The 25,414-nt window shown below is 40.6% G+C and overlaps 1 protein-coding gene across 2 annotated transcripts in view; it reads right to left on the reverse strand.

Moving 5' to 3' along the window:
- NOTCH2 (notch receptor 2) overlaps positions 1-25,414 on the reverse strand; it is a 158,110-nt gene that overhangs the window by 38,833 nt on the left and 93,863 nt on the right. For both annotated transcript variants that reach the window (NM_024408.4, NM_001200001.2), the window contains exons 6-15: positions 19,126-19,359; positions 17,692-17,847; positions 17,048-17,236; positions 15,991-16,104; positions 15,068-15,181; positions 13,189-13,422; positions 9,007-9,117; positions 4,655-4,847; positions 3,158-3,303; positions 339-452 (exon numbers count right to left, since the gene is read on the reverse strand). In NM_024408.4, the coding sequence (NP_077719.2) occupies positions 339-452; positions 3,158-3,303; positions 4,655-4,847; positions 9,007-9,117; positions 13,189-13,422; positions 15,068-15,181; positions 15,991-16,104; positions 17,048-17,236; positions 17,692-17,847; positions 19,126-19,359 (1,605 nt within the window). The remainder of the gene's footprint in view (positions 1-338; positions 453-3,157; positions 3,304-4,654; positions 4,848-9,006; positions 9,118-13,188; positions 13,423-15,067; positions 15,182-15,990; positions 16,105-17,047; positions 17,237-17,691; positions 17,848-19,125; positions 19,360-25,414) is intronic.

The raw sequence follows: 25,414 nt of genomic DNA on the forward strand, positions 1-25,414 counted from the left end.
ATTATTGAAACTAAGACAAATAGCTAATGTCCTGGAAACATTCAAATGATAGACAACCATCATCTATGTGCCTGGTTCCAGCCACATACAATTAAAAAAAAATTTCTTTCAAATACTAAAGTACAATGTAGGCAAATGACTGTCCACCACTTGCATCTTAGGAGGCCACAATGTTTCCTCAAAGCTCAAGATCCAGTCAGTAAAGGCAGGAAGGACAACTGAGGAGTGAGCCCTCGGAGGAGCATTACAGCCCCACAGACCTGGGCACTGAGACTCAGGCACTGACAAAGCAAGGTCAAGTATCCCCTCTGGTCCCTGCTGGTACCTCCAGGACCCACCTGTGTATGGCAGCACACAGTGGCAAGTGTAGCCACTTATGTCATCAAAGCAGGTTCCTTGGTTCAGGCATGGATTTGAGGCACATTCATCAATATTCACCTGGCAGTTATAGCCTGTAGACAAAAGGAAAAAACCAAAAACAGTAAAACTTTCTGACAGCCTCATCAATTTCTAACCAATTCTCTTTAGGGGTAAAAACTGAACACATCAGAAATTGCATTCATTTCTTCAGGCCACTGAAATACCTGTTCATTCATTTCAGCCCCATGTCCCTGAAATACAGTCAGTAAATGACAGCAATTAGTTGAAAAGATGAATGGAAAAACAGTCTATTCTAATGATCTGAAAGCCTAATGCCCCTCCAACTACAAATAACTTCTCAATAATGAAGTTCTTGGTTCAAAAGCTTGTTGCAGGATCTATTTATTATTTATTTATTTTTGAGACAGGGGGTCTCACTCTTGTCATTCAGGCTGGAGTGCAGTTGTGTAATCATGGCTCACTGCAGCCTCGACCTCTCGGGCTCAGCAATCCTCCCACCTCAGCCTCCTGAGTAGCTAGAACCACAGGTGCATGCCATCATGCCCACTTGATTTTTTAAATTTCTTGTAGAGATGAGGTCTCGTTATGTTGCCTAGGCTGGTCTCCAATTTCTGTGGCCAAGTGATCCTCCCACCTTACCCTCCCAAAATGCTGGGATTACAGGTGTGAGCCATCGCACCCAGCCAATAGCTTGTTGCATGATAAACATAAGCTCTTTGTATATAACATTTCTGGTCAGGAAAAGGGATGATGTTTTTGAATACATTAATCAAAGCCTCTGGTTTATGCCCATTTTTTCATAGGCACCATGTCTACCACCCATGTGGTACTTCCTGAAGTTACAAAGCTGTTTTCTCCTGATTCAAGGCATGAAACCTTCTCCCACTAAGAAAAGGATAAAAGGAATAAAAAATTAGTGGAGATAGCACAGTACCCAAATACTGCACACCTTTGCATCTCCAATAGGGCCTGGCACAGAGCCTTAAAGTAGAGAAACTATGGCACTGTGGAAAAGAAAACATGGTCTAGGAATGCAGAGGTATGGGTTCAAGGAGTATTCTGCTGCCCACTGGGCATATAATTTGGGATTTTACCTTTTGAATTTTATTTTGTTCACTGATAAGCAAGTCTCAGAAGATAAAGAAATAAAAGTGTTTTGAAATCTACAAGTTTCTTTGCCAATGTAATACAATATATCAGAAAATTAATGGCTGAAATACAGTCTCAGAAATGTTTCAAGTAATCAAATAAAGTGGCTCTAAAACATGCTGATGTATCACAATAGCATAGCACAATATTTGAGTGAGGAAATCAATGAATAAATAGACAGATGAGTGCAAATATAATGATTTACCCACACGGCTCTCTTTTGTGAGTTTCCAAGAGAAAACTGATGGTAGAAATATAACAGTGATAACTCAGAAGCAGATTTTACACAATTCCCATGACTATCCATTTGTTGGGTAGGCCAGCAGTCCCTCAGCATTTTTGGCACCAGGGATTGGTTTCGTGGAAGACAATTTTTCCATGATCCGGGGTTGGGGGGATGATTTTAGGATGATGATTCAAGCACATCCCATTTATTGTGCACTTTACTTTTATTATTATAATATTACACTGTAATATACAATGAAGTAGTTTTACAACTTACTATAATGTAGAATTGGTGGGAGCCCTGAGCTTGTTTTCCTGCCACTAGACAGTCCCATCTGGAGGTGATGGGAGACAGTGACAGATCATCAGGCACTAGATTCTTATAAGGAGCGCACAATCTACATCCTTCACATGTGGAGTTCACAATAGGGTTCGCAGTCCTATGAGAATCTAAGGCCACCACTGATCTGACAGAGACAGAGCTCAGGCGGTAATGTGAGTGACGGGGAGTGGCTATAAATACAGATGAAGCTTTGCTCCCTCACTGGCTGCTCACCTCCTGCTGTGTGGCCTGGTTCCTAACAGGCCACACACAGGTACTGGTCTGTAGCCTGAGGGTTGAGGACCTCCGGTGTAGACCAAAGATGACTAAATAACTAAGAATATCTCAATGTGTTAAAAAGTTTGTTGAAAGAGTTCTGAACATGTGGATTCTTCCTTGATATTACTACTATCTTAATTATAGTAAGCATAATATTTTCATTCTACTTCCATATATCTATTTGAACTATCATAGACTCAAACCTGGACCAGGAAGCTTATAATTAGACACTTGGCCAATGCTGTAAAACTGGAGTCTTAACTGCTCATCTTAAATATTACCATTTCAGGCTGGGTGCGGTGGCTCACGCCTGTAATCCCAGCACTTTGAGAGGCCGAGGTGGGCAGATCACCTGAGGTCAGGAGTTCATGACCAGCCTAACCAACATGGAGAAACCCCGTCTCTACTAAAAATACAAAATTAGCCGGGTGTGGTGGCATATGCCTGTAATCCCAACTACTAGGGAGGCTGAGGCAGGAGAATGGCTTGAACCCGGGAGGTAGAGCTTGCAGTGAGCCAAGATCACGCACCATTGCACTCCAGCCTGGGCAACAAGAGCAAAACTCTGTGTCAAAAAAAAAAAAAATTACTATTTCAATAGGTCACCTCTCTGCTAGGCTGAAGGTAGAAATTGTATCTATTCATGTTTTTATTCCCCAAGTGCCTTACAAGTCTAATTGCTCAATATGTTTGTTACACGAATGAATGAAAAAGAGAAAAGGAAACTAAGAAGTGAGTCAAGCAGTATGCAACAACAAGAAGACAAAGAGCAGACGCAGAAAGATGTACTTTTGTTTTCACCTTTAAAGCCCTTCTTGCAAGTACACCTGTATCCATTCACCAGATTGTCACAAGTTCCTCCATTCTGGCATGGATTCGAAAGGCATTCATTTTTGTCCACTTCACAGTTGATGCCAACCCAGCCTGCATCACAGAGACACTTATATCTGAAAGAAGACAAAACTTTTTACTATAGGAGGTATAAACGTATGATTGAGTCATAGAGTGAAATACAGGACTTGGTGAAGAAATGGGGTAAACTGATCTCATTTCTACTTTCATGGAACTATCCTTGCATCACCTTGCACATGGTGTGTACCATGTGGCCCTATCAGGTGTATCCAGTAAAGAAACCTTCTTGGTGCTTTCCTGGCTCACTAAGTTAGTGAAATTATAATGAAATTTCTTATGTAAACAATGGTTTCTACAATATATTGGGCCACTCTGAAGGAAACAATATCATGGATAAATCTGCACAATGTATGTTATTATACATAAAACTAAAGTAAAGCAAACATTAAGATCATTAGTTTTTGGTGCCAAATAGATACCTAGGTCACTGTCAGGGACCCTGAGCCACTCTAAGATGCTCCTGGGATATTTCATATCTAAGTCATGCTTTGTCTTGACCTAACACTTGGCTTCAGAAAGCACCTAGGGTATTCTGCAGGAAAAGGCACAGGAATGAAGGTATTTGAATTGTAAATATAATCTCCAATTTGAACATCACTAACACTTAGAATGTGATATCAGGAAATGATAGCTTTCTTATCGGGAGAATTTTAAGAAAATGAGAGATGGATAAGGGTGCCTTGAAGGCTGCTATACTCTGAAACACCAATACTGAGTTAATTAATTTTTAAATAACTTTATTTACTATTTGCCACTAAACACTCTTTATCCTTTCATCTTTCAAAGTTTGGCAAAGGAAAATGTCCAAAGCCATATCCTATGGCAAATGCAGCAAGAGTATAAGAGCGTCTCGTGAGACCTAAGGTCACTCTATGATTCTAGAAAATCACTAACACATCACACAAGTCTGTGGGGCTTAAAAATTGCAAATGTTTTATCAGGGACATTTCTAAAGTTGGCTGAAGCGGCCCTACTTCAGAGCACACACTGGCACTGTGACAGAACAGAGCTGAGCTATGTTTAAGCAGGGGAAAAAAAATCAAAAGCTAGAACATTCTTCAGAAATCATTCCAGTAATACATACTAAAAACATAACTGCCAAAGATTCATACAATGAGTATGGGTTCCTCCCATGAGGTCCTTGCTAATGACCCATATAAGGGAGACATTCCTCCTTATGTTCCATCTAGGTCCTCACTTATGGAAGGGAGGGGCCAGCTTCCATGGATTAAATGGTAATTCAGAAGGCTTTGATGCAGACTACCAAATCTTCAGCAAAGTTTCAGCTCAAAGCCCCATTTGACAACTTCAGGCTGTCACCAGTACTACAAGCCAACTGGCTTAACACAGGTCAATAAGAAACTATCACATGGGGCAGCTACTCACCCACTGAGACCTCCAGTACAGTTTCCATGGATGCAGGGATTGCTCAGGCATTCGTTCACCTGTGAGTAGCAGCTGGGGTGATGGGGTCCCTCGGGGCATATACAGCGGAAACCATTCACACCGTTGATACATGTTGCACCCTTGCGACAGGGATTGGAGGCACACTCATCAATGTCAATGTTACATCTCTGCCCTGTGGAGAAGGGGGACAGTGTTAGTCACATCCTAAATGCTTAGGAAATAGACCCAGAACTATAAGACACGTTATGTTGACATCCTTCATCTGCTCAGGCCATAAGGTGCCTTGAGGCACCAAATGTCAAGATGTAAGGAATTAGACACCCAATAACACTTAATGCCATGCAAAGGAGCAAAGAGCATTGACTTTTGATAATCAAGGAAAGTTAACAAAAGGCTGGAAAAGTGTTATAGCAATTTGGCATTTTCTTTCAACTCAGAAATGGGGAAACTTCACAAGGTTCTAAGAAGAGAATGTCAAATGTTACCAAAGAAGGCTTCTCTTCTTAATGCTGCCCTGAGTACAACTCAAAGAAGCATTCATTAACATGCTTTGTGCCGGTTTAGCACAAATTCATTTTCTCAGCCTCTTACATTTCTATTTATGGTAAATCCAAATTAACTGGAATGCTTAATGAATGGGCTAGTAACTTAATTCAATAATTAAATTGATTGTAAAGAAAGGTTATTTTGTTTTCATTCTTAGAGTCTATTAATCCATTTTTTTTGACCTCAGGAAGTAGAGTCTCAAAGTATAATTTTGTTGTCTTCTGATATTAGAGAAAATAATGCAGTCTGTCACTGCAGACCTATGGTTCTTAAACTTTAATGTGCAAAATCATCACTTTAAGTTGTTATTTTAAGTGGAGATTCCTAGGCCCTATCACCATAGATTGTGATGAATAGAATCTAGCAAACCATATTTTTTTAAATGTAGGTGGTGTAAAAACTAGATTTTGAGAAATTCTGTTCTAGACAATTATTACTTATCATCATCATACAATGTGGATACTGGGAGTAAGTGAAATTGAAGTGAATATGTTGCTCCTCCAAGACATAGCCAAGATTGCTCTTTAAAAAGATGTCTGCTATAACCTTGATATTTCTTAGGCTGAATAAAGTAATACGGGTCAGTTATACAAGTGTTTCCATTTGTTACATTTTGAGTAACTGAGATTTAACTATATATTCCAAAATGATATGAAATGTTAAAATTACCTATAATTCTATAAATGAGTGGCATCAAGCAACTGCTATGAATTTATATATTTCAAAGAACACAATGTTCTGATTCTGATTTTGAAAACATGCATTTTTCTCATTTAAGAAAGAGCAATCCTGTATTTAGAATAGGACATTCCAAATGAAACAGATACCCACTCCTATGAAGTATGAGTATTCACATTTTTTCACCCTCCATTGCTCTCTAAACCATCATTGGTGGTTCTTGTGGTAAAAACCCATAATCTGGAAGTGGCTGCTGTTTTCCTCTTAAGTGTTTTATTAATAGCTTATTTTTAAATACTATTTCCTTGGCCTCAACCACTGATTCTTTGAGCTGTTTGTCAGTGGCACCAAAATATGAACCAGAGCTCTTCAACCACACAGTTAGCCTCGGCCCGTAATATAGTGAAGGATAACAGGAAAAAGGTTTCTTCATTTTTGGTCTTTTCTTGGAAGCGTCTCCTCAGAAGCCACTCCTCCCAAGTTTTCTTTATTTGCTTTTAAATTTATTCTTTGCAGAATAAATTTTCAAGCCATCTTTATCTGAAAGCATTAAATGCAGTCCACTATGTTGATTGACAGCTGTTCCATCAGGAAGGTCCTACCCTCAAGGAGTTTCCACTGAGCATGAGGAAAGTCCAGTGGAAGGCCAAGAAATTTTTTGGGCTAGGTAACTAAAATGAGAAGTTACCCAGTGTTTCTTCTGACTTAGGCACTCAATAAATTGGTGTTTAATAAATGAAAACATGGTATAGTCCACACTTCAGAGTCTGGCATTAGCTAGCAAAAGCGCTATATTTGAGTCCCATTCATTCGTTCATTCAGCAACATTCACTAAGCGTTTCCTACGTGCCAGACATTGCTTTAGACACTTGCTATAAAGATGATTAAACGAGGTCTCTGCCTTCTGGGAACTCACAGTCCTCACTATGCAACTCACTGGCAGAGGCCATGAGTATATACATCAAGGTCTGTCTCTCAGTTGCCTTATTTGTTAAACGGGTATAGTAGAACTTCCTTTCTGGATTGTTATGAGAATTCAGGAAGATAATGGGCATGAAGGTGCTTTGTAAAACTGAAAAGCAGTTTATAGAAGTATCACATAATTCCTTACATTCCCCCATTTAAAAAGGTTCTAAGAGAACAGATAACTTAGTATTAAAACAAAAAAATCCCCTTTAAAGCTGTCAAAGCTATTATTAGAATGATATGGGAAAAATATATTAAAATAAAACAAGAGCAAGAATAAAACTCCTCACATTTACCACTCATGAGTATATACCACAGTCATCTCTAATGTTTTTAGCAGCTGATTAAAAAAATCATCTCAGACATAGGCAACAGTTCCATGAACAGGGGACCACCTAGTAACCAAAACATTCCATTTCTTGCTTATAAGGTTTCATGCTACACCTTAGGTTTATTTTAGAATATTTTTAGCCTATGTTCTCCCTTCTTGGCCTTCCTGGTTTGCTGAATATTAAAAAGAGAAAGAATATGATTCATTGGCATTCTGAAAAAAATGAGTCCAGTAGAAGCCTTATATAAACACACACACACACACACACACACACACACACACACACACACACACACACACACAACAGGCCCCTAATCAGGATGTCCAGTGTAGTGGGAATGAGCATGGGCTCAGGGGTCAGATTGCCTGGGATGTAATTCTGGCTGCTGTGCACTGGTAACATTACTTAACATCTCTGTGTTCTGGGTTTCTTATTCTGTAGGTATTCTCAACGTCGGTGACAATTGACAATTTAGTGCCTAGCTCAAAATTAGTTCTTCATAAATGTTACCTATTCTCTTTGTATTACCCACTTATCAACAATGTACCTATTATCCTATCTAGCAGGGATTTTTGTGTATTCACTCGACTGCCACTTGATCTTGGAGTAACAAGTTTCAGGATGCAGAACATCAGGCTACTACAGCAGCACTGGGCATTGGGTATGACAGTTTTCATCAGATTTTGCTTCTCAGTGATCTTTCACTGAACAGGGATCACTGTGACCCATTTGGGTGCAAACTTTCCTTTCTAATGTCCACAATCATACCAAATAGGAGAAATTCTTGTGAAATAGAGAACAAAGTACATTCTTGGCAAATGAATGGTGGACATTCACTTCACTTTGCTCTGGCTGCTTTCTGCAGACTCTATCAAAAACTCTGAAGGGTGTTTCTCACATTCGAGTACAAACAACCACATGGAAATTATTAAAGGGTAACATGTTAGTGGCTGCTTCTGTGTGTCACTGTCCAGGAAGAACAGAATGTACAGTGTGTGCCTTCTGATGATGCCAAGAAGAAACTCAGGTGTGTCAGTGAGGGGCCTCAGGTTTCTGCAGTAGTAGCCTCTAGCACTTTTTGATCAGGAGGGTAAAAGATAAAGGTAATATTGACAAGTAAAGAGAGAGAAGATGTGTGTGTGTGTGTGTGTGTGTGTGTCTGTGTGTGCGTGTGCATGTACACGCACATGTGTGTATGTGTAAATGCCTAGGCTGTTCATACTTTAAGAGAAGTTATATTCAAAATTCTTCTAGCCATTTACTTTCTTCCTCCTGGGCAGAAAGATCTCTCTCATGCTACCCAAATTAGGGTGGTCTCCCCAAGCTCTGACCTCATCCAACAATATTTCAGAAGACGAAGTACCCAGAAATAAGCATTCAGTATTTTCACAGAATTCTACCTTGAGTATGTCAAAGAGGAGGTACCCAGAAGCAAGCATTCAGTATTTTCATAAGATTTTACCTTGAATATGTCTTTACGGAAGGCCTTGACTACTACCTGTAATCAATAAACATAGCTTTGGAAGCAATGTAACTCAAGCAAAGCAAAGGCAATTTATGGTCTGTCTAGGAATTATTTTCTGGCAGCAAATAAACACATAATCGAAAAACTCTAATTAATGAAAAGTATGTTTCAGTTTAGAAAAGGTCTGTGAACAGAAAACTGATCTAGAGAAGCAGAGAAACAGACTACTAACCCTCCAGAGTGACAAAGAAATAGGAAACACTTGAAAAGCAATATTCCTTTGGATGCTATATTCCCAAAGTGATAGGGCTGAAGGAGGGGCCTTGCAGTAAAAGGAGCTTTACCTGTGAATCCTGGTGAGCAGACACAACTGTAGCGATTAATGCCATCCATACAGATTCCATGGATACAAGGGTTACTTGCACAGTCATCAAAATTAATTTCACAATTAACCCCTGGAAGAGAAAACCCAACGGAAACCATTCAATGTTACCACAGAAATACTAAGGCTTTCTGCTTGTGATGCAGCAACGTGGTAAGAAATCTAAGGTGAATTCCAGCCAACCCTGGACAGAATAAAGCAGAAGTTCTCAAAATGCAGTCCACAGACTCGTTCAGGAAGATACAGGAGGTCCAAAGGATTTTATTAATCATACTTAGCCATGATCTTTCCTTTTCACTGTGCTAACATTCAAACTGATGGTGCAGAGGCAATGGGGTGAAACCGATCACATCAGCATGAATCAAGGCAGTAGAACCAGACTGTACTATAATTATTCTACTGCTCACCTCCACATGCCACAGTTAAACAAGCAAAAACGCCAGTTTCACTCAAGAGTGGCTTTGTTGGAAGTTAAAATTAGTAACTTTATAATTTTAATAAATCTCGAACCTTGAGTAATGTCTACTACTCCATGTGATGAAATGGAAGTATACATAAAGCATTTCTGTGGCATGCCAAGTATGAGAGTTGTCTCCAGGAAGAGCTATAATGCTATTGTTTGAGCTGTGAGTTGAAATAGCTGCTTTCTTCATGAAACCCCATTTTAATTGAAAGAGCAACTGACAGGCAAACCAGGGTTAATCAGAATTGAGTATTTAGCAAATATTAAGTGAAAGCAGCAAACCTGTCATTTTGAGGAAAAGCAAATTGACAGTATTTTTGCCAAAGATAAAACTTAAGCTTTCAAATCAAAATTAGGATTTTGGAATTTGTATCTATCACTGTGAGCTTGACACTGCCTGTCAGTATTGTAGGCTAAATTTCAGGATAAATCTTGAGTCTAGTAACTTCCTCCTGAGGTAAGCTGCCTTATTTTTGCTCTACTGCCCAGATGAATGGAAGAGTTTGGTTATATTAACAGTATACAATCATTATTGTTACCATTATTTGTAAAGAGATATTTGTGAAATATATTTGTAATATATTTCACAAATATCTCTTTACAAATAATGGTAACAATATTTACTTTTTATTTTTGTATGAATTTAGTGATGCTTTCTGAGTATCACAGAATAATATTTTGGTAGTTTAAAAAGACTAAAAATAAAAACTGGTAATGAGAATATAAGAAAACAAAACATCCAGGATAAAATGCCATACTTGTGATTCACTCATACTTTGTTTTTCTTTCTTTTTTTTCAGAGATAGGGTCCTGATCTGTCACCCAGACTGGAGAGCAATGACACGAGCACAGCTCCCTGCAACCTCAATATCCCTGACTCAAGCTATCCCCCCACCTCAGCCTCCCGATTACAGGTGTGTACCACCTTACCTGGCTAATTTTTATTTATTTTTTGTAGGGACGAGGTTTTGCTATGTTGCCCAGGCTGGTCTCAAACTCCCAGGCGCAAGCAATCGTCCCACCTCGGCCTCCCAAAATGTTGAGATTACAGGTATGAGCCACTGTGCCCATACTCTGCAATAATGTTTATTAATAATAATTACAGAGGAACAGTTTATTGAGTTCTATGAGCAAAGTACGCTGCTTTGCCTGTCATGTAAGTTTTCTCTAACCCTGTCACCCACCCTGCACATTAGTCTGTGTTACACCCATTTTACAGACAACAGGGCTGACCTGCACAGTGCCACCATTAGGGCAGGAAAGCTGGGCTCTGAACCCTGTTTGTGTGGCTCCACAGCATCCTCTTTCCACCACACTGTACTGTCATCCCATGATTAATGAGGCTATACTGCCTAATTAGCCATAAATGAGGGAAAGATTTCCATATTCCCTGCAGAGGAGTGGATACCTTTAGGAGATGTTTCTAACCCTTGACTGACAACCCTGCTTTACCCTCAAACTAAGAAGGCAGCACCCCCTCCCAATGAAGCCCTGATGATCCAATGTGACTCCAGCCCCCTGTCCATGGTTTATTTGAGTAGGAAAAGATGCCTGGATCAAGCCAGGCCAATGAGATTCTCTCATTACAACACTGAAACACAGACTGTGTGACCTCTGGTCTACAAATGCCCAGTTTCCTATTCTTTTCTCCAAAGCCTTATTATTCAATTGCTTGGAATCTATAAGAGGCTCTGGGTGCTTTCGCTAAGCTCTTTCTGTTTCTTTGTTTTGTTGTTGTTTATTTTTTGTAAATGATGACTTAAACTAGCTCAAGTTGGTCTGTTACTTGAAACACAAAGAAACTTACTTAAAACTTTACTATCATAAAAGCACAGATGAGAGAACGCACTGAAGGTAACTCTGGGTAGTATATCTCACTTTAAGTACCCAGTGAGTGACTACCACAATTTTAGCTGACAAACTGTAAAATATTTCTTCCATCCACTCCCCTATCCAAACACCAAACTACCAACTTAGGCCATATAAGTGGAACAGGAATTCTTACTCTAGAACTTCAGACTCTATTCATAATGCCTCTTTTAATGGATTTTCCACCCAGGTCCCTGATACATGCCAGGTCTTTCTCCACCCATTACAGATCAACATTTTTTTAATGTTGTCTGACCGTTGCTTGCTTTAATTCTCCAAATAACTGCAGGAACATCTTTGGCAGGTTCTGACAGATTCCGGGCCTTCCTTTCCATGCTGCCTACAGATCACTCATATTGACTTCTCACCTTCTCAGTGACAGCTACTTATACCATACCCTCTCTGTCCTCCCCAGAAAACACCTGATATATCCTGGTATAATGATATAATGCCAGAGAAAACAAAGTGCTTGCCAACCCACCACTCACCCAGGTTTCCAGTATGTTTATTATGATGGGAATGATAGCAAAGTCTAAAGCCCCTCGATTCTAAAGACATCCAGTCAATTGCTTGTAAATCTCTCAAATTTCTTTTCCTACTATAATTTCTCATGTCTGAGGAACAGCCCGGAAGCAAATTGCTTTTGGAAGTTTTCACAAAGATCTATTCAGCCCTTTTAGTGAGTTATCTAAATGTGGGGAGGGAAAGGCATTTTCAGCTGTGACGGCATGGGATGTTTTTCGTATGCTTGAGCAATTCAAAAAGGACTTTGTTTTCAAACTTGGCATGTATGAAGCCTTGGGTAAAGACCAGAGCCTTTGACAAATTTGAAGAAATGGATTTGGAAACAGTAAAAGAAAATGAGGGTAGCTAACTACCCTCTCCACCTCTGCTCTCTACATAGGTCATTTTCCTTACATCCAGAATGAGTTCTCAATAAATCACTCCTTTATATTGGCAGGTTTCCTTCTAACAAAGGCACACATTGGTTAATCTTCCACTAATACATTTTCCTTTGATCTGGAACATAGTACATCTCTGTCCACTAACCATAGTTGTGACCATAATCATTCATCTAATAAGTAAAACAGAACCATCCAAACCTGTGAGATGCTGCTGCCTGAGAAAATAATTCCACATCCCCCCAGAAAGGAGCAGCATGTCCTCACGACCAACAAGGAGTCATTCAACCAAGGTCAGAGAACAATGATGAACTCCGAGGATAGGAAATGACAGCTCTGCGTTCTACTTTAGTTACTGTGGTGTGTTGTAAGGTATCTCCTCTTCCTTAGAATCCCCCAAGATGGCTAAGGCCCCACCAGAGACAAGTGACTGAAGAAACATGTCACAATAAAGAGACTGAACTGTGAAAGAGAAAATACATTAAAGGAAGGGAAGAAGGGAAGAAGGAAGGTAGGTAGGAAGGAAGGAAGGAAGGAAGGAAGGAAGGACTGAATTTATTAATCTGGGTGGGGTGGAACTTAAAGAAAAAAAGATAATATAGCCACAAAAAAGAGGGTTTTCAATTTTAAATCATTAATTTTAATTTTTGAAGTGGTATGCCTCTATTTAACAAAACACACACAAACACACACACAAAATCATCAGATTGGCAGAGCTATTGTCTCTGACTTCTCCACTGGCTAGGGCCATTTGCCTTGAGACATTTATGTTTGTGGCTTTGGCTGTGCTTCTCAGAATCAGGACTGTTTTTTAGGTATCTGAGCATATGCCAACAGTCTGAAACATCTGTGTAAACAGATTTGAGAAACAGTGAAAACCCCATACCAAACATAAACAGAGTGGGCTTACCTGACGTGCCTGGCTGGCAGTTGCACTGGTAGCCATTGACCAGGTCAATGCAGCGACCATCGTTCAGGCAAGGGCTGCTGTAACATTCATCAATCTGGTCACTGCAGATGGCGCCCATGTACCCGGGATTGCAGATGCAGGTGTAGGAATCAATACCATCCTGACACTGACCATGGTGGCAAGGATCGGGGTCACAGTTGTCAATGTTCTCCTCACACAACACACCAGTGAAACCTTTGGAAAGAATTTTATCAAGGATTCTCAAAGACCAAGGCAGATATTCCACACCAGAACACAAGTGTAGCTACATCCATTTACTCTACACATTCGATGTGTGGTCAATTAATACTGCAGGTCTTGAGCAGTAGAAAACGACGATCTGCATTGATTTAGAAAGTATGCCTGGAGAGAGGTGCTTAAAATAAAGATTTCCAAATCAAATTTTAGAATTGAAATACCTTCGCAACTGATCAATAATTTCATTGCAGAGATGCTTTAACTGCACCTTCATTTCTTACTAGGCTTCAGGTATAACAGCTCAAAATATTTTTCCTTTATATATTTATCTTTGTATTTCTTTCTTCCCAAGTCCAATATACAGGTTAATGATTTCATGTATCTTATGTCCCCAATTCTGACTTTGGAGGTAAGAGAGCTTTATTTTACTTCTCTCAACTCCTCTGAGAGTAGTATGCATATATAGTAGTTTTAAATAAATACTGGTTGAATAAAATGAATGAACCTGTTATGAGAATTTAAAAGAAAAAGAGACAAGTAAGATTTCCTTTCTTCGAGGTGTAAATAGACAAACATTATATCTTTCCCTAAAAGACTCCAGGAGTCCTCCCCCCACTTTTAAACCTGAGCTAAAGGTTTTTAATCTCTTTGAAACTTATCCTCTACAAGAAGAATCTGGCCAGGGGAAGACAAAATCTGGATTCTCTGACAAGCATTAACTATTTGCAAAAAGAAAGAAAGTGGCTCATCTGAGTTGTCCTAAACTAAGTAGGTCTAATAATTAAAATATTAACTTTTTGTATTAATTTTCACAATTAAATTTGCTTTTCTGTGATCAGAAATAAATTATATGCATGATGCCTTTAATCTTTAAGACTCCATTCTCTAAAATTAATGTCTTGAATTACATAAATAACTTCTTTCTCAAGCAGTCAGATAATAAAGAAGTTCACTTCTAATAATTTCTAGCCTTTCTGTATAATATTTGCCTGTGTAAAAGGAAATGTGTAATAGGGAACATCTGGCTTACTGAAATCCAATCCCAAGTACAAAATGTGATTACAAACCCAGAAATGCAGAATATTTGTGCACAGATCGTTTTTGACTCTAGTTGCAGAAGTCAGCAAAGAGGACCCAAACTTTCCCAGTGAGAGCTCTCTCTCCTGTCATTTACACACTTGACTCTCAATCCTATTTTGGTGTCTTTTATGCAGAATACCCCTGCACTTGTACACATTCAGCCTTTAAATTTCTGGGCCTTCTTTCAGTCACTTGCTTCAAGAAACACAGAGCCAGGCCTCCTGCTGAGAAGCCCCAGTGAAAAATAGCTTTCAACTGGATTTCTTCTCTTTCCTAAATGAGTCAATCTAGCCAGCTGGAAACTTACTGCTGCCAAAATCTGTCCCAGAAAGACATGGATACCAAATGGAAATATCTGGGCCAGACCACTGTTGTGGTGGAGGAGGCAGGTGCTGCAGAAAAAGAGAGCAGCAAAAAATTTGTTAGAAACAGCTCTTCCTAAACACAGAGGAGCCTCTGGGAGTGGACTGGCCTGGCACAGCAGCTAGCAGAGGACAGGGACAATCACCCTATTTTGTTCAGATGGACCTACCAAGGAGATGAAAAGTGAGAAGAATCTTACCTGTGGCACACTGGCATTCATAGCCATTCGGGTGATCGATACACTTTGCCCCATTCAGACACGGAGTACTGGAACAGTCATCAATATCAATCTGGCAAACTGGCCCAGTGAAACCTCAAAAAGGGACAGTGGTAACATGAGTCAAAGGATTATCTTGTGTCTCCCTTTACCATGAGAATGATGTTAGGTTACTAGCAGGGCTTATACCAATGGGTCAATAAGCCTATGCTTTATTATTCTCCCCAACAGGTAACTGGAATAACCAGGTGACACTCAGGGAATCAGAGGCACTTGTGGTGTGTCTCTACCATTGCTTCTTCACAGACAGACTTCACTTCTAAATGAAGGATGTAGGAAGTGAAATTTATAGGTGGAACCTCAAACAAGTAACTGTAGCTTCAGAGGCAACAGAAACCTTCTCTCTGAAGATACAATGGGGTAAGATGCAATCTATGGAGGACAATTTGGCATATCTTCAAAAATAGCTTGAGGAAAAAAAAGGAGAGACAGAGAATCTTGGAAAAATTGGCATGTGTTGTCTGTTTCTGAACTCATGGGTGAAATGTCTAAAAATAACAGTCTCACAGAGGGCCTTCAAGAATATGACCCATGGGAAAAAAATAAAATCCCGAATAGCCTACAACTAAGGCTTCTGTGAGGTATGAGCATTCTGAAATATATACACAGACGAAGAGGTCATGGGCCATTCAAGAATAGACTTGGACTTTTGGCCACAAAGGACTTGTAAGATATAGTAGCTAAAACAAATTCTCTATTTCTGTACACACACACTCCTATCACCAAGCACTTACTCTAATGATTTCCTCATGCACAGCCCACACACATTCTCTCCCTGCTCTCTTCCCTGTGGTCAGTTGGCTTTGTGCTTTAAGAGAAAACAGGGCCAGGTCGTGGGCACTTACCAGGAGGACACAGGCACTGGAAACGATTGACTTTATCCACACACTGCCCATTGTTCACACAAGGGTTGCTCTGACATTCATTTATTTCTAATTCACAATGCACACCTTTGAAACCTAAACAAAACAGACCACACAAGTGGCTTAAAGAGAGAGAAAGGTGTATTCCAGACAAGGAAGCACAAATTTGCAATGATAACTACATCCTTTGCGAGTACACACATTTCTGCAGAGAAAAAAGGAACTCTGCCATGATGAGAAATAGTCACTCCAAGTGTCAAGCAGGACAGGGCATACTGTGAAATACCCATGTCACTGTGAAAAGCGGGAAGGGATTACATTAAAAGACATTGGCAAGACCTAGCATATAAACAAGGACTGCTCCACATTTTCTGTGATAAATCCATACTTTCTGGACTGTGGAAGGCCCAAAATGTCCCCACTCTATGTTCCTAAAGACAAGCTGAGCTGGAGCTGTTGTTGCCTTCAGGGTGCAGTTCAAGGTCAGCAGTGCCTTTCAAGGCTGGAGTGGCCGGCAGCCTTAATCAGGCAGAGCAGCCAATGTTAGCCATCATTTCAAGCTGGATTTGGCTGTATCCTCTCAAAATTAAAGACATGGTCTATGCAGAAGAGCTCCAGAATACAACTAAACATGTACTGCACTTTAGATAAATGGAAACTTCCTATATAATTGTGGATAAAATTTATTTATATAAATGGAATGGTATGGTATTTGTAATTACATGAAGGTATCAGGAAAACTTGCTATTTAAAGGATTCTTACAGTAAATCATTTTTGAAATTTTCTATTACATGTGGATTTTGATATAACAGGCTTGTTTAATTTGGTCTACATAGCTTGATGAATTCTAGCACTGCCTTACTCTTTGAGTAAGGAAGGTTTGCTTGTGAACCCTGACTTCCTCTAGTCCCCAGTCAGCAAAGGAAATCAAATGCTGACAGAGCTCATCAGACTGCAATAGTATACTGAATGCTCTACCAAGAGAAGTTCAGAACAGTCCCTCCTCTCTAGACCCAACATGCTGATGGGCCCATTTACCTGGCATGCACAGACATGTGAAGCCTCCAATCTTATCCAGACAGGTAGCATCATTCTGGCAGGGGTCTGAATGGCACTCATTGATGTCCATCTCACAACGAGGTCCTGCATAACCCTTCAGACACTCACAGTGGAAGGCGCCATCCGTGTTCACACATTTTCCTGCATGCTCACAAGGATTGCTATTGGCTGAAAGACACAAGTACCAATTACTGGGATCAAAGCAGTTGAGTTTCCACAAATGTGAACAATAGAAGAGCATCTGATGGTTATAGCATCAGGGCCAGGCCTTCAATAATATCATTCCCAATTTTCTATTTTTTTTTCCTTAATTTAAAAAGAAATAAAAGCGGAGTATCCTCAACTGTTATGCATTTCTGCTATTGCAGTTTCTGCCCAAACTGTCATTGAGGTAGGGCTTTATATTAAGAATCAAGTACATACGTTTCATACAGTTAATCCCCAGAATGGAATATATGGTTATGGCTATGCTGAAAGGTCACTTGTAAACACTGGCCATGTAGCAAGAGTAATCTGAGGTTTGGGTGTATGTAATTTGCTTCTACAGTAAAATGTGCTTCAGTTTAAACATTTGCTGAGCTCAACAGACACTTCACAGAACAGAAAAAGTTCTGCTTACTCACCCATGGCACATTCATCCACATCTTCTGTGCAGTCAGCCCCTTTGTAGCCTTGTGGGCAGGTGCAAATATATTGCCCATTTAGGGGGTTGGTGTCACACAGTGCCCCCTTGTGGCAAGGATTGCTGATGCATGCATCATCCAGATGACACAGGAGACCTGTCACAGGGTGGGGCAAAGGACAACTAAGAGAAAATGTCTCTCACTTGGGGAAGAGCTTTCTCTTTCACCCAGGAGGGAAAACCTCATGATCAGTTCCTCAGAATCCAACATGGAGATTTATACGCAACTTCTGCTTTGCCTGACCCTACCTTGGGGACATGCTTGGCCACCAGCAAAGCACCTAGATGCAACCCTAGACTCTGACCCTGAGCTCTCAGCTAGACCTCTCCTCCAGGACAGAGACATCTACAGGCCAGAAGATAAGAAGACGGAGACAGGAAAGTGGAGCTATCTTCCAGATAGTGTGCCAGATTTAGCAAATAAAATAGAGGATGTCCAGTTGAATTTTAGATAAACAAGAAGTAATTTTTAGTATGTCTCAAATATTCCATACATCCTATATTTTATCCGGAATCCTACTTCCCCAATATTATGCTACCTGATGATCATGGGGCCACCTGAACACCATCAGCCTCTACTAGAGTAATCTTTTAATAGCATCAACATTCCTGATTCAGGTGGCCCCAGGTCTCTGAAGATATTACTAGGCTTCCTGTTTTATATAGTTCACATGGGAACTGGATTTTCCAGTCTGCAATTAACTTAAGAAGAGGTAACTAAAGCTTCTTCCACAAAGCTGGAGCTAGAGCTTTTGGAAAGGCCTCCATGAAAGAACATTTCAAAACTGCTGGGCAGAAAGTTCTCCCAGCTAAATTATCTTCTCCCATCACCTTCCTCCTTACATTGCTCTCCTTCTCCTAGAACTAGTAGTTGTTAAATTGAGAGGCTAGAGCAATGTTAACTTTGTAGCATGTAAAAATCTTCCCTGAGGGGAATATTTTCATAGACATTGAGGGTTAGAAGGCACTTAAATGTTTCTCTCCTGCCAACTTCTTCTGAGTAAATAGATGGTTTCTTCTTAAAATGAAGCCTGTGGATCCATTTATTAGCCATTTTATCTTAATAGCTGAGGTGCTTTTCAGTCTAAGATCTTAAGGACTTCAGCAGATGTTCCAAAGACAATAGTTACTAACTTTCCTTTTTTGGAATGAAAAACTAAAGTATGTAGAGTTGAGAAGAGAGCCTAAAGTCCTAAAGAGGAAGATTATCTTCATAGCACTTTGGCTAGCAGGTTACATTTCTGGAACAGTCCTGAGTGATATGTTCCCATAGATGGTAACTCAAAGAATATGCTGTTTGGGATGAAAGAGAAGGCAGAGTCCTGAATGCCCCCTGCCCCTTCCCTGTTTCTAGATCCGTCCTTCTGCTACCTACCTGCCTTCCCCTCTGGGCACATGCAAGAGAAGGAGGCCACACGGTCGATGCAGGTGGAGCCTGGAGTACAGGAGGCGAAGGCACAATCATCAATGTTCTCACTGCAGTCATCTCCACTCCAGCCGTTGACACATACACAGCCATAGCCTCCATTGCGGTTGGCACAGGTGCCCCCATTTTGACAGGCATTGGGCTGCAGCAGGCATTCATCCACATCCTCTGTGCAGAACTGTCCTTTTAGGGGGAAATTACTTTTGATTAGGGCTCTTGAGTCTCAAAGGACTAGTACCATACCAGCCCCCCACACTCTTCATCTTCATGTGACCTGTCTGAAATTAAGGCAAGCAGAGCTCCAGAAGGCTGGGTCTTCACATGAATTTTAAGGCCAATTTGAGCCATCTAAATGATATTTTTTCCAGGCAAATCGTTTCAAGATGAATAGTTACTACCGTTAGAAACTCTAACAACATTAGGGTTTAGCCAACTTATCAAAGAGAAGGTAAAACCTGTAGGACCCTCGAGTTAACTAATCCCTGGGTCAATGAACATATAAGTAAGAAGAGCAAGGAGAGAAGAGTATAAAAATGAGTAAGAAAAAATAATGAGAAGGAACCTATATGCCAAACATTAGGGTAACTGTTCTATATCTTGACTGTATCAACGTCAATACACTGGTTGTAATATTATGCAACAGTTCCATAAGATGATGTTACCACTGGGAGACCCTTGATAAAGGGTACAGGAAATCTTTCTATATTAATTCTTATAACTGCACAAAACTACAAGTATCTGAAAATAAAAAGTCTAATTTTTGAAAATGTTAGGGCAAGCAACATAGGGTACAGAGAAGACATGAAAGATGTTGAAAATCTCTGGTGAAGTATGGATGTGAAGGGCAAGGCCAAGAATAATGAGACTGGAGCAAGCTGTGCTCAGCCTGAGGCACCCATACTTAAAGGATGGGGATTTGTGGAAGAAGACAAAGAAAGTCCACCCAATGTACTAGGAGATGGAAAAAGGACTGGTATGCACTGCCTGAAAAAGATCACACTAAAGGAAGCTAAACATGAGCCCACATCTGGCTAGGTTGCAGGTCACCACTATAGCAACAATGGAGACTAAGGCAAAGGCTCCTACATCCCTTAACAAAGAACAAGATAATGTCTTCAACTTACAACCAGGAATCTGTGATTAACAAAAACAGTATAGGGCCAGATCATATGAGCTATAAAATAAAGTGGTGATTGGTTTTGTTTGAGGTCTTTTAAAAACAGTTTAGAGAGCTATCAAAGGAACTAAAATTTAGATCATCCGAATTCTCTAAAACATGACAAGTTGTTGAAAATAAAAATATGTCAAGGTGTCCTTCATTCTTCCTTTGTAAATAAAACTCAACAAATAATTTTAAAAGGCACTCTGATAAAGAGGCCTCCTAATAAAAAAAGAACACAATATTTGTGCTTGGAAAATGCCAAGGCTATCTCTAGACCCAGAATACCTAGCAATTTGACTGGCTCATGTATCTGTAGAAGGCCTGTTAGCCATCATTACTCGCGGATGCTAGTTGTGTCTGACTTAACCTAACTGACTGCCTGTTCTTTATTCCTATCTAACATGTACCTCCATTACTATAGAACCAATATCACTCTATCACACTTATTTGGTTGCACATCTGTCTCCCACTACTTGGCTGCAGTTTAGAGGGGTTCTTTTGTATTCCCAGCAAGAGCCAACTGCCTAGGATGGCAGGATGGGTATGTGGATGTCTCCGGAACTCCGTGCTCGGCATAACCCTTCCATGCTCTTCTCCTAACTCCAGCCATATAATTCTTGAAGGAGCAACCATGTCTTTACATGATCAAACCCTCCTGGCCATGGCTGACTGACCCAAGATGGGCATCTGATCCAAGCTACATCACTGTATCTCTCCCAAATTATTGGAGTAGGACCACTTTGCCACATAGACCAAAAAGATGAGGAGGCTGGTCTGCAGAGAAAGTGATATGGGTGAATCAGAAGTGCACAGAGAGCCAGGCACAGTGGCTCACACCTGTAAACCCAACATTTTGGGAGGCCAAACAGGAAGATCACTGGAGCCCACAAGTTAGAGACCAGCCTGCAGGCACTACTTGGGAGGCTGAAGTAGGAGAATCACTTGTGCCATGATCATGCCACTGCACCCCAGTCTGGACAATAGAGCAAGACCCTGTCTCAAAAAAAGAAAAATAGAAAAGATGTGCACAAAGAGAAAAAAACATGGTGGCATTCAAGTTGTTGGTTCCAATTGCTACTGAAGCCCAACTACTAGTAAGCCTACTCAGTGGCATAGCCATTCTGAGAGATGCCTCTTGCAACAGGTCTTTCTAATTTGAAACGAGGCTGTGTCAACTGCATCCCAAAGTATTAATACAGAAAGAGTGAGTGAGGGATGAGGGAGTGAATGGGGGAGGTAATGAGGGTAATGAGGGAAATGAGGGAGGAAGGAAGGGAGAAGATGAATAAGAAAGTGAGAACACTGAGGTAGTGAGTGAGGGAGTGATTGCAAGGAGTGAGTGAGCGAGGGAGGGAATGCGTGAGAGAGTAAAAGATGGAGGGAGGTGAGAAAGGGAGGGAGGAAGGTAAGAAAGGGAGGGAGGGAGGGAGTCAGTGAGTGAGTGAAGGAATCAGAGAGTGAAGGAGGGAGGGAGTGAGCTCACCGGCAATAATCTCCCTCAGGGTAGATGATGTCATTTATTACAGAAACTTTGCTGTCTTATAGTGCTAGCAGAAATGGTACCTCAAAGTAATGACAGCTGTGTTATTAGGATGCAGGTGGGATTGAGAAATGAAAACATGACCAAGAAGTAGGTGAAGAGCTACTGCAACATGAAAATTGCTGAGTCTCATCTATTATACTTATGCTAACTCAAATATCCACTGCCCACCAACCAAACTGACTTGCTGAATGTGAACAATTTAGATGTCATTTTTCTTTATTGAGGCTTTGTGATAATTTTGGGTACTATAAGACACAATGTGTTTAAAGCTATTTTGTATACATTTCTTATGCACCATAATAAACAGACACTGAAATAATGTAGCAAGACAAACTAGGTAAATAAAGGAAAGGAAATGTGGCACTCTTGGGAGAGGAAACCAGTAGCCATTGACTGCCTACTGAGAAGCAAGCACTGTGCTTGGGCTCCCATAAAAATTGTCTCATTTATATCTGAGGAAACAGCCTCAAAGAGGTAAAATAATTTGCCTTTGTAAGCCAGTGAGTGAAGGACAGTTGAGATTTGAACTGGAGCTGCCTCACTCTAAAATTCTTAACAAAGACCTGAGGTGAGAACCTGAACATATCAAGCCATCTCTGCATGTCTCGGGCTTCCCAAGGGCACACAGACATGGGGAAGTGGACAGGATGGAGGAGGTGAGGACTCAAATCATGACTCAAACAATTGGTTACTGGAAACACTTGTGACTGCAAACTCCTGTCTAAAAGGGAAATGTATTTTTAGGTACAGTCCACTGATTTTTGAATGAGACTGAATTTTGAAGATTAGCTGCCTTCACTGAACACCTTTGGACCATGCATCTGTTCGATAGTGCTTGTTAGGGACAGGAAATTTAGAGATCCAAGAAGATAGTGGCTTATAAGTAATTAGCTACTGGATGGATCACACTTCTCTAAGGTTCAGGCACATTTCTACAAATTCACATTTCCTCCTAGTCCTATTTCTGCCAGATTATTTTCTCCCTATTAAAATTCTATCAACTGGTTCTAAAATTCAGAATAGGAAAAACAGTAACCAGGGTGGCCATAAAACTTGCTTATTCTAAAATTCCCAGTGGAACATCTGCTATGATATAACAACTCCCTTCACGTCACCACCCTCCTGGCACAGGAGAAAACCAATGCTAAAGACTAAAAATAAAAAACTTCAGGTTCAGGAAGGTAAAAAAAAGGAAATAAAATCTTCCAAAGTTCACACGGTTGGTGAGTGAGAGTGCTGCATTGAAACCCGGATTGATCTGACTGCAAATCTGATGCTCTTTGACTGCAGCAGAGTTGAGTATTCAGCCCTGGATGTGATCAACACAATCTACAGATGAGGTCGCTGATCCCAGGGTCTTACAGCACCCTGAGAAGGCATAGGTGCATAAGACAGTTAAGGAACACTCGTATTAGAAAGGAATAAAGGCAGAAGGTCACTAGATATTTGAGTGGGAAAAGTTCTTGGCGATCACCTAGAGGTCTTAACGTGTATGCTCTACGGTCATTGAGCTTATCCCACTGGTGCAAGAAAGCACCAGCCTGGGCTGGTGGTTGAAGATTTACAGAGGAATACAGGATTAAGTCTTAAACATATTAAAATAACTGCAGTGTATTCTTTGGCTGGGGTTTTAGAAGAAGAAAAAGTGGGAGGTCATTGAGGCTTTGACTTCGAGTATGAATTCGGAACTTGATACAACAAGTAAAGGAGGATGAGGAAAGACATGATCGATACTGTGTTTGAAGGTAAGTTGGCCAATAGAACATAGAAGGGATTAAAAGCAAATGACTTTATGTTAGTAGGGAAAGCAGGAGAGAGCACTAAGTTATAGGCTACCTAGCAAATAAAAGCCTTTGGTGAAACAGGAGAGCTGTATTGTTTCCATGTCCTACCAAGCTACTAAATCTTCAATACAAACAAGTGTCAGCATGTATCATCACCTGTGTCAACACACAAACTTTGCTGGTGAACTCCCAAAATGTTGCACAAAGCTCAGTTAGGCAAGTTTTCAAGAGCAATAATTATCCCTCTCAGTAATTTCCACCTGCCAGATATTGCAGGCTACTGTCATTTTTTTAACATCAGGACTGAGGCAGTGGACTAGTTAGGCTCTTATTTCCTATGGGCAAAAGAGAAAGAAGATAACTTGTTTTTAAAAACTACCCTCTCTAATGCCACAATGACTCTGGAATAATCTGAAATGAAATGTCAAACTAGCATATCCTTGGCTGATACCTTAAACACTGAGTGCCACCTGTAACTACTGACAATTTTCTGGTTGATCACTTTTGCCTCGTAAATATACTCAAATCTACACCTCTCCTTTGTACAGTTTATACTAACCACAATAACTTTTGTTGATTCCTCAAACATTAAGTTCTCTCCTGCCTCAGTGCTGCTGCATAAGCTGCTCTGTCCACCTGAAACATTTTTTCCCTGCTTATTCACATGGCGAGGTACCTGTCTTATCAATAGAGTAGGTCTCCAAATGCACATCTCCTCATGATTCTCCACCATTGCATCATTCCATTCAATCCATCCTGGAATGTATCACGAGCTGTGATTTCATATTTATTTACTCTTTACAGTCTCTTCCCCATTTCGCTATAAGCTCCAGGAGGGCAGGGACTGTGTCTGCCATTCACCTCAGTATCTATGCCAGCCACTGTACTAGACACTTGGTGTCAGTGGTGGAACTGACCTTGGACAGCATCTAATCTAACATGCTCATTTTACAGATGAGGAAACTAGGACCTGAGAGGTATAGCAACTTGCCCAACTTTGCACAGTTAGTTGGCAAAATAATTAGAAGTGAAAATAGCTCAGTGCTGATAAAGACTTTGGGGTGTGAGATTGCTGCAGATCAAGTTAGTTTTCAAAATAAAGAAGGCCAATCTGAGCTGACTGTTGAGGGATGTAGGGAAAGAGGAAGAAACTCAGAGTGCTACAAGTGAAGATGACATGGCATTACCAAGCCACCATTAGCAAAGGAAGTATACTGTTTTGGTTTTGCAGGAGTAGGGTCACCTCCATGCTGATCTTTTCTTGTTGCTCCATCCTCTGGCTTCAGGCTGAACAAGTAAGATTATGGGCACAGTCAGCCAGGCGTGGTGGCTCACGCCTATAATTCCAGCACTTTGGAAGGCTGAGGCAGGTGGATCACGAGGTCAAGGGATTGAGACCATCCTGGCCAACATGGTGAAACCCCGTCTTTACTAAAAATACAAAAATTAACTGGGCATGATGGTGCATGCCTGTAGTCCCAGCTACTTGGGAGGCTGAGGCAGGAGAATCGCTTGAATCCAGGAGGCGGAGGTGGCAGTGATCTGAGATCGTGCCACTGCACTCCAGCCTGGCGACAGAGCAAGACTCCATCTCAAAAAAAAAAAAAAAAAAAAATTATGGACACAGCCTGTGGCAGTAAATATAACAGGGTGAACCTAAGAGGTCTGTGCTGAAATAGAAACCATGGCCTGGGCCTCATTAGCACCACGCTTCAGCCAAGTGAGCCAAAGACCATGAAACAGTCAGCA

This window comes from Homo sapiens, chromosome 1, assembly GCF_000001405.40.
Source record: "Homo sapiens chromosome 1, GRCh38.p14 Primary Assembly".
Classification (NCBI taxonomy): Eukaryota; Metazoa; Chordata; class Mammalia; order Primates; family Hominidae; genus Homo; species Homo sapiens.